We start from the raw sequence: 16,656 nt of genomic DNA on the forward strand, positions 1-16,656 counted from the left end.
CTTGAGCCCAAGAGGTCATGGTTTCCGTGAGCTATGATTGTGCTAGTGCCCTCTAGCCTGGGTGACAAAGTAAGACCTTGTCTCAAAAAAAAAAAAAAAGAAAAGAAAAGAAAAAAAAAGAGGTACTTGGGTAGGCAGAAGGTGCTGTGATAAAGTTTCTTGGCCTTGGATGGCTGGAAAGAGCCAAAGATACACAGTTTTCTCCAGTGTCCTTACCTCAGGTAGGATGTGCCCCCTCCACTTTGGAACTGAGATCCGTATGTCTCTGTTTGCTGCCCTGCCCTGCCTCAGGGCCCTGGGGTGATAGGTCAAGGTGTTCTAGGATGCAGAGGTGAAGAAGAGAGAGGGCGTGGGAAGGGTGCAGCATAATAGTGCACAGGGAGCTCTCATGTATGTGAACACAAGTAAGTGCAGGCAGCTGTGGGAAGTGTGGGCTCTGAGATATTACCTATACCATTGCTCCAGACATAACTACGTCCTGGTGTTTCCCTAGAATGCCAGAGGATTCAACATGAGCATACCTATGCCTGGGCATCCAGTGAACTTCTCCAGTGTCACTCTGGAGCAAGCCCGCAGAGATGTGGAGCAACTGGAGCAGCTCATCGAAAGCCATGATGTCGTCTTCCTATTGATGGACACCAGGGAGAGCCGGTGGCTTCCTGCCGTCATTGCTGCAAGCAAGAGAAAGGTAGGCCCTGTCTCTAATTATGATTTATGATTTAATGCACCACCACTCCAGAGGGAGGAGTGTCCCTAACCTTCCCTTCCCCAGGGCAGAGATGTGGTTTGTGTGACCTGGTAGCATAGTGCCAAAGGGCTTCTGCTTCAGACTCTGTCTTTGCCTCGCACACCATCACCCAATGTAATAAGTACCATTTACTGCTTAATTTTCATAATAATCTTTTGAGATACTCTACACTGAAAGATATACTGTACTTACATTAAAACGTAAGCTCCAAGAGGACAGAGACTTGGTCTTATTCACCACTACTTGGTCAATGACAACTTCAAGGGGCAACAATGTTGAATAGTGAACTAAATCATGGTGCATACCTATGATGGAATAGTATGCAGCCATTCACAGTTATGTTTTCAAAGGACTTTAATAAGATAGAAAATGCCACATTATATTAAATAAGGAAGATACAATATTGTATATATTTTATACCAATTATGTTTATATATAAACATTGATATGTATTTTCTTAAGTATCTACTTATCTGTCTATTGAGAGAGGAGAAAGAGGACAAGAAGAAGGGAGAAAGAGAGGGAGAGTATGGGAGAGAAAGGGAGAAAATAGTAGGTAAAAAATACACCAAACTATTAATAGTAATTTTTTGAGCTGCGGGTTGTGAGTGATTTTTGTTTTCTTTTGTAGTGTGTTTATTCTTATTTTTCAAACTTTCTATATAATCAGATATTTGGGATAATAAGTTAAATTAGAACTATGAAAAGTTGTTATAGTATAATGAAAAAACGGTTTCTTAAAAATTTATGTGTTGGGCTGGACATGGTGGCTCACATCTGTATCCTAGCACTTTGGGAGGATTGCTTGACCCAGGAGTTTGAGACTAGCCTGGGCAACATGGTGAGACTCTCTCTCTAGAAGAAAAACAAAAAATTAGCTAGGTGTGGTGATGCACACCCGTGCTCCCAGCTACTCAGGAGGGTGAGGCAGGAAGATCACTTGAGCCTGGGAGGTTGAGGCTGCAGTGAACCGAGATCACGCCATTGCATTCCAGCCTGGGCAACGGAGTGAGATCCTGTCTCAAAAAAACCCCAAAGAAACAAAAAAACAAAAAAAAACCAACTATGCGGAGCCAGGCATGGTGGCATGTGCCTGTAATTCCAGCTACTGGGATACCAAAAAAATTCTATGTGAAGGGTGAATTATATGGTATGTGAGTTATATCTCAATAAAGCTGTTATAAAAACAAATCTATGTGAACATGACAGTATAGCATAATGGTGGAAAGAATGTGTTTGAGAACTATGTAGACTTGGTTTTATATACCTACCTCTTGCCAGATAAGTGACCTTGGGCAAGTTATAGAACTAACTTCTCTGACTTTCAGTATCCTCATCTATAAATAAGAAATGTTTGTTATGAGTTTTTTTGTTTGCTTTTTTCTTTTTCAGAGATAGAATCTTGCTCTGTCACCCAGGCTGGAGTGCAGTGGCGGAATCTCGGCTCACTGCAAACTCCATCTCCCAGGTTCAAGCATTTCTCATGCCTCTGCCTCCTGAGTAGCTGCGACTACTGGCGCAAGCCATCATGCTCGGCTAATTTTTTGTATTTTTAATAGAGACAGGGTTTCGTCATGTTGCCAGGCTGGTCTCGAACTCCTGACCTCAGACAGTCTGCCCGCCTTGGCCTCCCAAAGTGCTGGGATTACAGGTTATGAGCCACTATACCTGGTCTGTTATGAGTTTCAAATGAAATTAAATGAGATAATTTATGTTCATCACTTATCAAGTCTTTTGTAATTAATAAGCCCTCAGTAGTGGGTAGATTTTATCATCATTAGCTTTTATAATCTAATTACACTTACATGCAAAAAATAAATTTTAAAAAGTTGAGCAAATATGGAATTAGCCACAGCTTGAAATATATGTGTCTTTTAACTCTGCTCTTTCATTCCTTGAAACCTGCAGCTGGTCATCAATGCTGCTTTGGGATTTGACACATTTGTTGTCATGAGACATGGTCTGAAGAAACCAAAGCAGCAAGGAGCTGGGGACTTGTGTCCAAACCACCCTGTGGCATCTGCTGACCTCCTGGGCTCATCGCTTTTTGCCAACATCCCTGGTTACAAGCTTGGCTGCTACTTCTGCAATGATGTGGTGGCCCCAGGAGATGTAAGTGGATTTCTCTATAGTTCCAAATATTTCCTATCACCAACTTGTACACTGAGGCAGACCGACTTGGCCCTTTCATTTATGACTATTTAAATATTATCTTTTAACAAAGAGAAGAATTCTCCAATTTGGGGAGGATGGCATTATCTCATTATGAACCTTGACTGGCGTCATCAACTGTACACCTGTTCCTTGTTCACCAATATAAACGCGGCTACAAACCATATTTTTGGAAAGCTTATTGAGGAAACCACAGCAGACTAGTCCCTGATAGCACTCCGTATTGTCTCCGGTGCTTCTCTTAGTCAAGATAACATTACAAATCAGGAGTCTAAAGACCAGATTCCATCAATGGCTTGACACTGCCTCCCAGGTAGTTCTAAAAAGTCTCTTAGGTTCCCTCTACCTTTGCAAAATAGGAGTGATGTGTAGGCTTGTCAGATTTAGTAAGTAAAAATATAGGATTCCCAGCTAACTTTGAATTTCAGTTAATAATGAATTCTTTTTTTTTTTTTTTTGAGACAGAGTTTCGCCCTGTCACCCAGGCTCGAGTGCAGTGGCACAATCTCGGCTCCCTGCAACCTCTGCCTCCTGGGTTCAAGTGATTCTCCTGCCTCAGCCTCCTGAGTAGCTGAGATTACAGGTGTGTGCCACCATGCCCAGCTAATTTTTGTATTTTTAGTAGAGACGGGGTTTCACCATGTTGGTCTGGCTGGTCTCGAACTCCTGACCTCGTGATCCACCTGCCTCAGTCTCCCAAAGTGCTGGGATTACAGGTGTGAGCCACCACGCTTAGCCAATAATGAATAATTTTTTGGTATATGTCCCATGCAATATTCAAGACCCACTTATACTAAAAATTTATTTATCTGAAATTCAAATTTAACTGAGTGTCTTGTATTCTCCCTAGCAATGCTAATAGAGGAGGGAAGAATACCTGCCCTGTCAACTCACAGTGCAAAGTGGGTCAAGTGCGACAGTGCTTTGAACAGCAAGACTACACTGTACAAATTAAGATTCTATGACTTTCAGAACTCCACACAAGTCAGTCTGTATGTAGGTCTGTTCCTTTATCAGAACAGATAACGATTTCCAGTGAAACAATGCAGAGATGTTTTCTGTAACCTCCCCTCTATTTTTCCTTTGTTTTAAAACTTTTCCCTTAATAACTCATATCTCTTTTGGATGACTGGCTTTTATGCCCTCCCAATATAAAGAAAAGAAGATGACCATTCTCTTTTATGGAGAAAGATGGCTTGATGATCTCTGTTATGGTGTTATAATATATAGCTGGTCTTGTTATTTAGTGATTGTCAACAAATACGATTAGTGGTCCCTTGCAGTAAAGTCCCATCTGCTCATAAGGTAAAATTTTTATAGAGTCAAAAATATCTCTAACAACCTCTTAATTTGCCCAGAGTTGGATGGTTAGACTCTCTTTGGTTGAACCAGCAAAGGCTTGTGCTTAGAGCCATGTTGTAGAAAAAAAAAATACTTGTAGTAAACCCTAGAATCACACAGAGAGGTGATGCCCATGTTGTGAGAGGCACATAGGAACTGAGGGCCGCAGGAATAGTAAATTGTTGCTCCCATCTCACGGTCACTTTGAGGTGTTAGCTCAGTTAAAATGGCAGGGCAGAATCATTTGCACTTTTCAAATCATTGTTCCTTTCTGTGTCTCTGTCACTTAACTACCAAGCACAGTAGAACTGAATTGAGTCACTTAAAGGAACACATGATGCAGTTCCATTATATGAGGCAGCTAAGCCCTCATTTTTGGTTAATATCCCCCAATCTGTTTAGGCTACTGATCCTTTTTAGCATATCACCTCATTTAGTTACCTAAATTGTATATTTTGTTTATCTTGATAATCTCAAGAAATGATGTACTTGAGGCTGGATGTTCTTTGCCAACAATGAGCATCTGGTTATAATTTAAAGCTTTGTCACAGAGGATTTCATACTTGAGACAGCTAGAGTTGAATGGAGTAGAACGTTCTGCACACACCAATGATTGTTTCTTTGCAGTCAACCAGAGACCGGACCTTGGACCAGCAGTGCACTGTGAGTCGTCCAGGACTGGCCGTGATTGCAGGAGCCCTGGCCGTGGAATTGATGGTATCTGTTTTGCAGCATCCAGAAGGGTGAGTTTGCTAGTAGGAGATGAGTATTTAAACAAAGCTTTTGTAGGCAGTTGTTCATCAGTGTCTCCCATGGCCTTTTCTCAGTCTGACTTTACAGAGAATTTCACTATTTCACCCTCAAAAAAACAAGACTAGAAAAAGCAGGTCTGGTTCTTTGGGCTGAGATAACTTGGCATGTTTCCTTTGTGGCCACATTTCTGCATCTTTCCGGACAAAGTCACTATGGTTTATTTTATTTTTCCAACGCTTATATAGGGCTTACTTTGTGCTAGGCACTGTTCTAAGCACCTTAGAAATTTTGCCTCCTTCAATCTTTTTTTTTTTTTTTAACGAGACGGAATTTCGCTCTTGTTGCCCAGGCTGGAGTGTAATGGCACGATTTTGGCTCACTGCAACCTCTGCCTTCTAGGTTCAAGTGATTCTCCTGCCTCAGCCTCCCAAGTAGCTGGAATTACAGGCATACGCCACCATGCCCGGCTGATTTTTGTATTTTTAGTAGAGATGGGGTTTTGCCATGTTGGTCAGGCTAGTCTTGAACCTCTGACCTCAGTGATCAGAAGTGATTCACCCACCTTATCCTCCCAAAGTGTTGGGATTACAGGCGTGAGCCATTGCACCCGGCCTCCTTTAATCTTCATAGCAAACATATTAGGAAAGAACTATTATTATTAGTCGCAGTTTTGATGGGGAAATCAAGGCATAGTGAGGATAAGTAAGTGGCCAAATTTACATAGTAAATGGAAAAGCCAGGGTTTAGCTCAACCAGTGTGGCTCCAGACTATGTTTAATGACTTTGTTATGCTGTTTGCAATACAGGCAGCAGAAAATCGAATTTTTGAAAGATTTATTTTTCCAGTTCTCAGAAAGTCAATATGCAAATTAACATGAATATTCTATTTCTTGTGTGACTCAAAGCTTTCCTCAGCAGTTGAAAATTGTGGTTGTATATGTAACTAGTATGGGTACTCTGAGATAAATGAAAAGCGGGGCTTTTTTGTCTTCCTCTTTGTCATCCACCTTAGCTATCTGTCATTTAAGTTTATTGCCACTCTCTGACAGGAAGTATTTGGGATAAAATCTTTGAGAGCTGACTTTATGCTTCCTTGACACTGAGCCTCTGTCTGCCACATTTGCCCTGGTCATAGTTTAAACACCAGGTCCTGTGTCACATCTTTTTGGTGCCACAAGTATCACTCCATTGTTCAGAGAGTAGTGTATTAGTTCTGCCCAATTCATTCTTCACTTTTATTTCTTCCATTTCATTAGCATTTATATCAGCTCAAGAAGTTAAGGTTAGAAAATTTTCCACTTCAAATTTTCAGTACAGAAATGTGCTGTGATGTTTGACAAGACTATTTCATAGTAAGTGAGTTAATGTTTATTGGCCTCTGATATGCCGAACATTGCACTCGGCAGTTGATGTAGTAGATTCCTCATTTATTAATCAGAGCTCCCTCATTCCTACTTTATAGATGATGGATCTGAAGCACAGAAAAGTTAAGCAACTTGCCTATGGTCACAAGCTCAGGTCTTTCTGACTCCAAACCATGCATGTTTAAATTACTCTTCTTGCCCTTTGTCCCAGGGAAATTAGTTTTTTGCTAACTTACACTGCCCAGCAAGGGGCATTTTAGTTATCCTTATGAATCTTATGTAGATTTCTGCTAGATCATCCTCCCATGTGTTAAACTTGGATTAAATGAGCAGCTCTGATTGTTTCCTGTCCTCAGGGGCTATGCCATTGCCAGCAGCAGTGACGATCGGATGAATGAGCCTCCAACCTCTCTTGGGCTTGTGCCTCACCAGGTTAGTGATGTGGAAGTGAAATCACAATTCTTTTGGTACAGGGGGAAAGCATGTGGGGTCTCTTTGCCATTCCATCTGCCCAGCCCACTTCATATCCACCCTACTTACCCTGCAGCTGGGATTTCAATGGGAGAGCTTTCTGACCACCTGGAAGGTATTCCATTCTGCGGGATAGTGATGGGAGGAAATCACGAACGAGAAGCATTGCCCAGAGTCTTTGATGCGTTTTGTAAACTGACTAGAGGCCTCATAATGCAATAGGAACAGAAAAAACAGGCTTTGGAATCAGTCATACAATGGTTTAAATCCCAGCCCTGCCGTTATAAAGATGGCCTTCTTTGGCCAAGTCACTAAACTTCTCTGAGGCTTAGTTTTCTTATCTGTAACATAGAGAAGGTAATGCTGACATCACCTGGTAGTTGTATGGATTATGGATGGTTGCTAGAAAGGGCTCAGCAACAGTGTATATCATAGGCCCTCAACAAACAATGCCTGCTGTTTCTTTACTGTTGCTTGTTATTATTATTGACTCTGAACCCAAATAGAAAACCTTTATAGGCAGGCATGAGAAAAACATTAGAAGCATGCAGGGTCACCAAAAAGTGGGGTGTCTTTTCAGAAAAAGAATCCAAAGCATCATGAGGAAGTTCCATCCCTTAGGGAGTAAAAAGAAAAAGGCAGTGGGATGATCTTTTAGAATTCATGTTGCCTCTTCAGTCATTTTCATTACTATATTTTTGGGAGATTGAAGAGGTTTTCCAGTCTTATTTGGAAATCATTTTTTTTTAGATTCCATGTATGTATCCTCTCCTGTAATGTGACTGCTGTTCCCATCAGTGAAATCGTGATGGTGCCCACCAGTCCTATCTGGTGATTTGCAAGGACAGACTCAGACGAGTGCAGAGAGCAGAGTGACTCAGCTCATGCTTGTCTCTCTCTTCCTCCTCGCCACCCACCTTCTGCCAGCTAGGGCGGCACTGTCATATTCAGTTTAGGATGAGAATCAGAAGAGGGGAAACGACTTCTTCATGGTCACAGAGACTTAGTGGATGAGCCACAATCCATACCTAAACTTGGCAGTCTGACAAATGTTCTTTCAAAGGTCTTGTGAGTTGAAAGATCCGTGGCCTGCATGTTGGGAGATTTTGCTTCCTGTTGGTACCCCAGCCCCCTTGCACAAAACCACCCATAATAGAACTTGTGGGCCGGGCGCGGTGACTCATGCCTGTAATTCCAGCACTTTGGGAGGCCGAGGCGGGTGGATCACGAGGAGAGGAGTTTGAGACCAGCCTGACCAACATGGTGAAACCCCGTCTCTACTAAAAATACAAAAATTAGCTGAGCGTGATAGTGTGCACCTGTAATCCCAGCTACTCAGGAGGCTGAGGCAGGAGAATCGCTTGAACCCGGGAGGTGGAGGGTTGCAGTGAGCTAAGATCGCGCCATTGCACTGTGGCCTGGGCGACAGAGTGAGACTCCATCTCAAAAAAAAAAAAAAAAAAAATAGAACTTGTAGAGTTCACTTAGCCTCCCAGAGTCTCAGTTTCCAAATCAAGAAAAGCAGGTGCTTTACTTTGTGTCCAGGATTACATCTGACACGGCCTTGAAAACCACAAAACACTATGAAAATGTGCCCCCCTCTGTCCCCCACACACAAGGTGGCATTTTTTTTTGACATGCATGTGTTAATCTTTTCTACAGAGACATTTCACGTAGGACCCAAAAGACGCGGTAATAACCATCTATCATAAGGAAGCTGATCTCCAGAGCCTACCTCTGCTATTTATGCTGTCGTATCTCATTTGAATCTTTCCCAAGTCTCCCGCCTTCTTCTGACCTTGAGATGTGCCCTCATCTCCTTTACAGACTTTATATTGAGAAGGGCCTTAATTAAATTTTCAGTCATGCCCCTGCACTGGTTTCCTTCTTTAAGTCCTTTATGTTAAATTACTGCAGTTGTAGTTTTCTCAGTGCTGAGGCCAGAGGGCAAAACAGTCTCTTTATAGAAGGGGCCCAGTGTCAAAATGCATGTGCCCATGTTTTTAAAGTACTATGGCAACTAATCCCTCTCGGTGTTATTTATCCCCATTGAGCCTCAGAATTATTTGTCATTCACCAACTCTTCTAGTTCTTTCTCCTCGTTTTCAAATGTCTGAAGGATTATTTTGGTTGTTGGCCATCTCTTCATTTGCCCTTTTCAAAGACTGAAGAATAACGCAGCCATATATGGGAAAAGCTGTGTGTGTGTGTGTGTGTGTGTGTGTGTGTGTGTGTGTGTGTTTACTTGCTTACATTGTTTCAAGTTTCAAGCCTTTATTTTTAGCTACTTTCTAAGAAAGAAAGTGGAGAAAGAACTTTAAAAATTAATCAGGGTTGTGTGGTCCCCATGTATAGGCTTTAAACAACTTTTTTCCCCCTAAGTGGAGTGAGTCCATTTATGCAACCATGTTTTGATTAGGGGACCATCGTTTCCACGTTTCCACAAAAACACTGGGCTGTGTTGCAATGCCCTGTTGCAAACTCAGCACTTCCCTCCTCCTCTTCCTGGCTCCTAGAGACAAATGATTTCCTGTTGGAGAGGAACTTGGTAAACTCCTTTGTGTACTTTGTATGCAAAGAAGACCAGTGAAGTTTACTGGGCTCATTTTTCTCAGTTCCCAAGAGGAGAAGTTTTATTAATTGGCCCCTGTGGAAGAGATGTAGTAGAAAAGTGATAGTCCTTGGACTGAGAATCACAAGGCCCCCCACCAGCAACTCATTGTGTAATTTGGAGAAAGTTCCTTAACTTTTCCTGTGCTCTCTGGGTCTCTGCTCTCCTCTGTGTCAGACCTAGGAGGCCTGAGGATTACTTAGTTGTTCTGTCTCTGGGTCCACAGGCAGAATTTGGCCCATCCAAAGACTGGCCAAGTGCCAAAAAAAGGCCTGATTAGGCCCTGAAATTCAGTGAAATTCTGCCTGAAGAAACCTCTTATTGAATTTGAAAACCATAAACCATTTCAGGTGAGCTTATGGGTTTGTTTTGGGTTTTTTTTTTTTTTTTTAAGTCTCTGGCCCAATGTACGTGGATTAGATTCTGCAAGCAGGCAGCAGTAAGTATAAGCTAATTTCTGTCTATAAAAAGAATGATTAAAAAAAATCATTTTGTTGATGTGTGGAATAGAGATTATCACACACATCATTAAGTGGTAATGTGATGAATGATCACAAAACGAACAGTCTTATACCCAGCACACAGATCAGAACAAAGTAACTATCAAGCACCTTCAATGCCCCCCTCATGCCTCTTCGGATTATTATTGCATCCTTCCTATAGAGAGGTAAGCACCTCTTGATTATCAGCACCATGGGAGATGTTTGTCTGATTTTGAACTTCTGTAAATGAAATCATATAGTATATACTCTTTGGAATCTGTTGTCTTTTGTAGAGGGAACTTTTTCATTATAAATCTTATAGTAGTGTTGTTCCTTCTTCCCATCAACAGTGTTCTTTTACTTAAAAAAAAAAAAAAAAAAAAAAAGAAGAAGAAGAAGAAGGAAAGAAACACTGCTTTTTCCCTCCCGGCTGGTGGCTGAGCTCTGCAAGGCCAGATCCTTTTTCTGGTTCTTTGGTAGGAGGCACAGTTCAGGATTTATAAAATGTACAGGCCACTCTTGATATCTCCAGGAAGTTGGTTTGCCGGCTGGCAAGAGATCCTGGATGTGACAGAAATTAACAGCCTGTTGGCCTGCTAATTCTTTGGCTGTACCTCCTCAAAGGATGATAATGAGGTGACAAGGCTAGGCACAGTGGCTCACCCCTGTAATCCCAGCACTTTGGGAGGCTGAGGTGGGAGAATTGCTTGAGCCCAGGGGTTCAAGACCAGCCTGAGTAACATAGGGAGACCCCGTCTCTACAAAAAATTAGCCAGGTGTGGTGGCACGCACCTGTGGGAGTTTGAGGCTGCAGTGAGCCAGTATCACACTACTGCATTCCAGCCTGGGTAAGAGAGGGAGTCCCTGTCTCAAAAAAAAAAAAAAAGGAATCAAGGTGACGCTACAACAGTTGTCCAAACACCAAGGTAATTGATGGGGCATTCCTGCTTTATCCCACTTGTGGACCAAGCAGTTCACATCTTTTGTCTTTAGGTGAATGAACTCTTGGTTCTAAAGTACTGATAAAAAAAGACCCTGAATGTGTATATGCCATTCTTCTGAGCTTGGAATTGCCAACCCCAGGGTTTTCTCAGCTTCATGAATTCTTTTAGCTTCAGAAAAGTAATACAAAGCCAAAACTAGGGCAGGACCCTGGGAGGGACCTGGCCTGGGAAAACTCTAATTGAGTCACATGCTGAGGTGGAGCTGGGATCTCTAGCCATATCTCGGGATATTTGGCCTTTCTGCACAGGCTGTGTCCCCCAAATCCTCAAGCCTTTAGATTTTGAAAAAATCTCTTTACTGTGTTCAGAAATACTTATCTCAGTGTGCTCCTAGGGACATGGACAGATGGACTGCTGAGGAGGGAAATCTTAGCAGATAAGCAATAAGAGCATATTTCCTGAGATGCAGCCCAGGAAAGGAGCCTCCTTTACCCCTCTGGTTCTAAACCTCTCTGGTTGATGATGATGGATATAGCAGAAAAAATGGGCAGGCCTCATGTTTCACTATATCAAGTGCTATCGTTTGTGACCTGTTCATCTTATTTCCCTCCCTCCAGCCATCCCCTCAACAGGTAATCTGACTCTGCCAAGTGCCAAGCACTATGAAGTTCAGGGAAGTTAAGTAACTGGCACAAGATCACCCAGTGTTGAGTTCCATTTGCGTTTGGGGTAATCTAAGGTGATGGATGTATCCCAAGCCATTTGGATGTAGTAGAGTCTGGTTCCAGTGGGGAGGCCTCTGAATACAAGGAAGGATCCGGGTATAGGTCTAACAATGTCTGGGCTTCCTCTGTGAGGTCCCAGAAGAAGAGTCAAGATTGCTGTTTCCCTGGAGGATAAATTATAATGTCAGCGTTCAGAAGCATCTCAGATTGCATCTCTTGTCCCAGGAGGAGTTGGGCCTAACCTTACAGGTTGAAGGATGTCACTTTGCCCCATGAGTTTTACCCACTGGATGAGGCTGTCCTGTTTAGGAGGTGCGTGTTTAGGAAGGCAGCCTGAAGGTTTTGTGATCATACAGATCTGATTAGAACCCCAGCTTTGTCTGTTAATTTCACATTCAGTATCTCATTTTACAAAACCAGTTGGGGCAGCTCTTAGCACTTGTCCCTGTTTGACCTTGGGCACGTTACGTATCTTCTCTGAACCTCATGTTTTATATCTGTAAAATGGGGATAATATAATAAGCTCTTGGAATTCATGGATGGATTAAGTCACACGTACTAAGCATTAGCACAGTTCTGGGCACATAAGAGACCCTTGTAAATATCGGTTTCATCTTTCACTTTTAATTAAAATGGAAACTTATCCACTCTCCTAAAAAGGAATTTATAAAGACTCTCATAAAGCTCTGAAAGCAATGAGTAGAGAGGGAGTGGTTGGGAAGATTTGCTCCATTCTGCAGTGTTTTTCTAAGGATAACACTGGCTCATGTCCAGCTTAGTTTTTCTGCCCCCTTGGTGACTCTAGCTTAATAGCGAGAGTTGGGTCAGTGGTGGGAGCTGAAGCTCTTAGCTGAAACAAAGACCATTCTGGTGTGCTTAGGGTTTTGCAATTGCTACACTCTCCATTTTGGCATTGAACTTGATTAAGACTCTTTTCAGCATCCAAGATCGATCTGGAGTTTGGAGTTAGTTTTTATTTATGCGAACTCCAAGCTTTAGAAATATTGCCAGGCCTGCTGGAAGCTAGTGTGAAGTTAAAGCAGCAAGTTCCAGTTGTGGCTGCAACTGTGCTTTCTCAGAATGGCTGTTTGTTGCTGGGCATTGGATCTTAGCCTCCCATCGAGGCCTGGGTCTGAAGCTAATTTTACTCAGCTTAGGTGAAAACACCACCAGGGGTGGGTGGCCCAGAAAGAAAGAGGAACCTTTCTATTCTTGATCTATTTATTTTGTGGCCAACTGGGCATAATTGACTAAAGATAATTGAATCCACCTGATAGGTGTTAAGCCCTCTAGGTGTTGAGTTTTTGTTCGGGAGTTTTGTTTTTTTTTTAATTCCTCTAGCCTCTTTCTTCCTTTCTACCTCTTTGCTTTTCAGCTTTATTCCTCAGGCTTTAGAGCCAGAAAGAACAAAATTCAGATTCCTGGCTTTGCCACTTGGTAGCTGTGGACCCTTGGGCAAGCCATGTCACTTTCCTGAGCCTCCTATGTTCCTATTTGGAGATCTGTGCCACAAGATGGTAGTGAGGCCAAAATGAGATGCAATGTATGAAAACACCCAGGAGCCCTGAACACAGGCATGGAATTCAGTAAATTTTAGTGCTCTCCTCCCTCCATTCTCTGGGGTATCATTTTCCACATTATTCAAGGACATGCCTTCCTGCCTGGCTTCTAGGATTAGGAGGGAACATTTGTTTATTTGAAAGGGAAAAGGAAGAGAAGTAAGTGCTTTAGCAGGGGGACGTAGAACAGGCAGAAACAATGGCTGGGAAAGGTGCTCAGCGAGTTTGAGGAAGGGAAAGGCCAGTTTACCTGCGAGACAGCGAGTAAAGGGGCACAGCGGAGAAGGCAGGAATGCAGGGGCCATTGGAAATGCCTGGACCTTCAACCCGGGGCCCTGGGAGGCCGTTGAACGCTGAGGTGTGATATGAGTAGATTTGGTTGCTGCATGGAGAATAGACTGGAGGTGATACGAGTGGCTCTGGGAATAGGATTTGAGTCGTTTGGTCTTAAATCAGAAGACAGCCTAATCCAGGGATTCCCATACCTGGCCTTCCATCAGAATCACCTAAGGAGCCATTTCAAAATACCCATTTCCCAGCCCATCCCAGAGCCACTGAGCGAAAACCTCCAGGGACATTAGGCATTTGAGAACCACTGCTTCTGTCCATGAAAACATGGCTTCTTGATAGCATCACCTGGGACAAAGTACTTAAGTCCTTAAGGTAGCACACCAAATCCTGCTTTTTGAATTTTGTGCTTCCACCAACACTAGTTGTGTTTCTAAAAGACCCTTGGCACCTTGTTCCCAGTGCACATCTGCAGCCCCAACAGGTGTTCCTGCCTGAGAGCCTTTGGAAGCTAATTAGACACGCACAGGTGTGCCTAATGAATTCCTGCCGGACCACACGCTGTCCAGCTGGGAACAGCCCGGGAGCGAGGCCAAACAACCATATAAAGCGAGGCCAAACGACCTATTCTGATGCTTTTTGCATGCTGTCTGCCGTGTTTTCATTCCCCACGGTGAGGACGGTGTGTCCTGTCTCCTAAGGCCCTGTGAGCCAAGCTCAGCTACAACCTGGTGCCCCACATCTGACAACAGGGATTTCCACTCAAAGTGCTTGGCCCTTTTGGGCCTGGGGGTGATGAGTGGGACTGGAGCCAAGAAACCACAGGTAATTGGGATTCTTCTAGGCTCTGTGATTCCCAGGTGGGTTTTTTAATATTCAGGGAGTAGCAAAGATACAAATATTGTAGAGCTAGTTTAGGCGTACAATTTTTTTTTTCTAGACGTTTCTATGGAACACTAATGTTGGTGATTATTTTGCAGGGAGAGGGAATGGAGGTAACAGGGACTTAGGGTTTTCATTTCGTACTTTTCTGCAGTGTTTTGAAAAATTAAGATTATAAGCCTTTTTTAAAATCACCTTTTTCAAGACATAACTGATATATAGTAAAATGAACCCATTTTAGTATGATTTGACAAGTGTATACACTCACATAACTATCACTTCCACAAATGAGATACAGAATTTTTCTGTCACCCCAAAAAGCTCCTTTGTGCCTTCTCCCAGTTCATCTCCCCACCCTCAGCCCCAGGCAACCACCAACCCAATTTCTATATGGACCATTTTTATTTTTTCTGTATATTTTACTGTACTAAGGGAAAAAAAATGTAATGGAAATCTTAAAATGTTCAGAGGGAGGCAAGGTTTGGTCACTCTGAGGAATCCCTCTTACTAGCTACAAAGTTGGTAGGTAAGGGCTGGGTGTGTGTGTGTGTGCGCGCGTGTGCGTGTGTGTGCGTGCGTGCGTGTGCGTGTGTGTGTGTGAAATCGGCCATGTTTTCCCCTTGTGGGGAGAGGGGAGAATGAGAAAACAATATTCAGGTGAGGCTGTTTAAAAGAAAGTTAAATGTTTAGATAATTTTTTAAAAAATAGGAAAATGGAAGTAAATATGTCATGGGAGTATGGGTTATTGTTTTGTTTGTTTTGTCATGTGTTTATCGTTTTTATTACAGAAAGAGTTAACTTTTTTTTTGAAAAGCTGTTTAATGCTTACCCTACTATAAGGAGAAACTGACAACAAATAGGAGAACAAGAGTTGAGAGTAAGCTGTGTGAGACTTACGTTATGACTAACTCCAAAAGGTAGAAAATTTACTTTCAGCAAGAGGCTTTAGTTTCCTGTGTGGATGGCAAAACACCTTTGATATCACTTTATAAAGCCTTTTAATTTAAATGTTAATTTAACATGAACTAAATTAGGTGGTGTGGTGGTACTATTTTTAGAAAATGCGCAAAGAATTAGAGGCTTGCTAAGTGCTTCCATCCGTTTTCTGACAGCTAACAGGTGATGCTGAGTGGTACAGAGCAAACCACGGGAGGGTGTAACTAAGGTTAGTAACAAAGCATCCTGTTTCCCTTGCTTGCCTGATGGGAACCACCTGGAGCTCTTGTTAAACCTGCAGATTCTCAGGCCTTTCCCCAGACCTTTTGAATCAAGTTCCAGGGGCTTCTTCTGATGAGGCAAGTTTAGAAAAACACTGAGCAACACTTTGCTTTATAGACTTTGCACACTTCTAAGTAGGAAGGTCACGGTGAATTTTTCTCCACCCAAGCAAAGGACAAATCTTTTTAACTTCTTTGGGAGTTGCGGCCTGGCCTCTCTCAATAGGTATGTGTATATTTATTAGGACCTTTGCATAAGGTACTTGGATTTTAGATTGCTCTGGGGTTTCTATGCATATGTAAGTAAGGTGCAACTTCTGCTCTTTAAATTTTATGCAGTTCTTATAAGATTGAGGAAGTGCAATGCAGAGCATATGAATGGTGGCAAGTCAGAGTTTTTCTTGTGGTTTGTGTGGGACCTATTTTCTCTGTATAGTCCAGATTTGAATAATTTTGTAAGCTTTGGGTTTTTGTTTACTTGTTTATTCATTTCATAATTTATTGTCTTACGAGCAAATCACTGTGCTATGAGTAAATACAAGTAAATACAAGTAGCTCAGCCTGTGTCTTGTCCTCTAAAAGCAAGAAAGATAAAAACATTTCTTAATTATAGTATTCAGACTGATCCTCAAATTCATATGGAAGTGCAAGGGACCCAGAATACCCAAAACGATCCTGGACGTGAAGAACAAAGTTGGAGGACTCATACTTTCCAGTTTCAAACTTAGTACAAATCTACTGTAATCAAGATAGTTAAGTACTCACATAGAGATAGAAATATAGATCAATGGAAAGAATTGAGAATCCAAAAATAAACCCTTAATGGCCAACCAATACAGTTCAATTGGGAAAGAATGCCGTTTTCAACAAATAGTATGGAGACAGCAGCATTCCACATGCAAAAGAATGAATTTAGACCTTTATTTCATACCATGTTAAAAAATTAACTCAAAATAGATCATAGTCCTAAATGTGAGAGCTAAAACTGTAAAATTCCTAGAAGAAAATATCATAAATCTTTATGAACTTGGATTAGACAATGGTTTCTTATGTAAGATACCAAAAGACCAAGCAATGTAAGAAAAAATGGTAAGTAGG

The 16,656-nt window shown here is 42.1% G+C and overlaps 1 protein-coding gene across 38 annotated transcripts in view, besides 1 other annotated feature; it reads left to right on the forward strand.

Annotated features, from left to right (window-relative positions):
* The window catches only part of ATG7 (autophagy related 7), a 303,957-nt gene that overhangs the window by 85,528 nt on the left and 201,773 nt on the right, over nucleotides 1-16,656 (forward strand). For all 38 annotated transcript variants that reach the window (XR_007095622.1, XR_007095623.1, NM_001349238.2 and 35 more), the window contains 4 exons: nucleotides 494-688; nucleotides 2,657-2,860; nucleotides 4,889-5,004; nucleotides 6,735-6,810. Coding sequence is in view for 36 of the 38 variants with exons in the window: in NM_001349238.2 (NP_001336167.1) it covers nucleotides 494-688; nucleotides 2,657-2,860; nucleotides 4,889-5,004; nucleotides 6,735-6,810 (591 nt within the window). In the remaining 2 variants the exon portion in view is untranslated. The remainder of the gene's footprint in view (nucleotides 1-493; nucleotides 689-2,656; nucleotides 2,861-4,888; nucleotides 5,005-6,734; nucleotides 6,811-16,656) is intronic.
* Nucleotides 6,357-7,556: an enhancer, noted in NCBI's record as "CDK7 strongly-dependent group 2 enhancer chr3:11405755-11406954 (GRCh37/hg19 assembly coordinates)". NCBI's record gives its function as "activates an origin of replication core promoter dependent on BRD2, BRD4, P300/CBP, MED14 and CDK7 cofactors, with strong dependence on CDK7, by STARR-seq in HCT116 cells {active_cell/tissue: HCT116}" and the evidence as "EXISTENCE:reporter gene assay evidence [ECO:0000049][PMID:35650434]".

The sequence above is a fragment of the Homo sapiens genome, chromosome 3 (assembly GCF_000001405.40).
Source record: "Homo sapiens chromosome 3, GRCh38.p14 Primary Assembly".
Taxonomy (NCBI): Eukaryota; Metazoa; Chordata; class Mammalia; order Primates; family Hominidae; genus Homo; species Homo sapiens.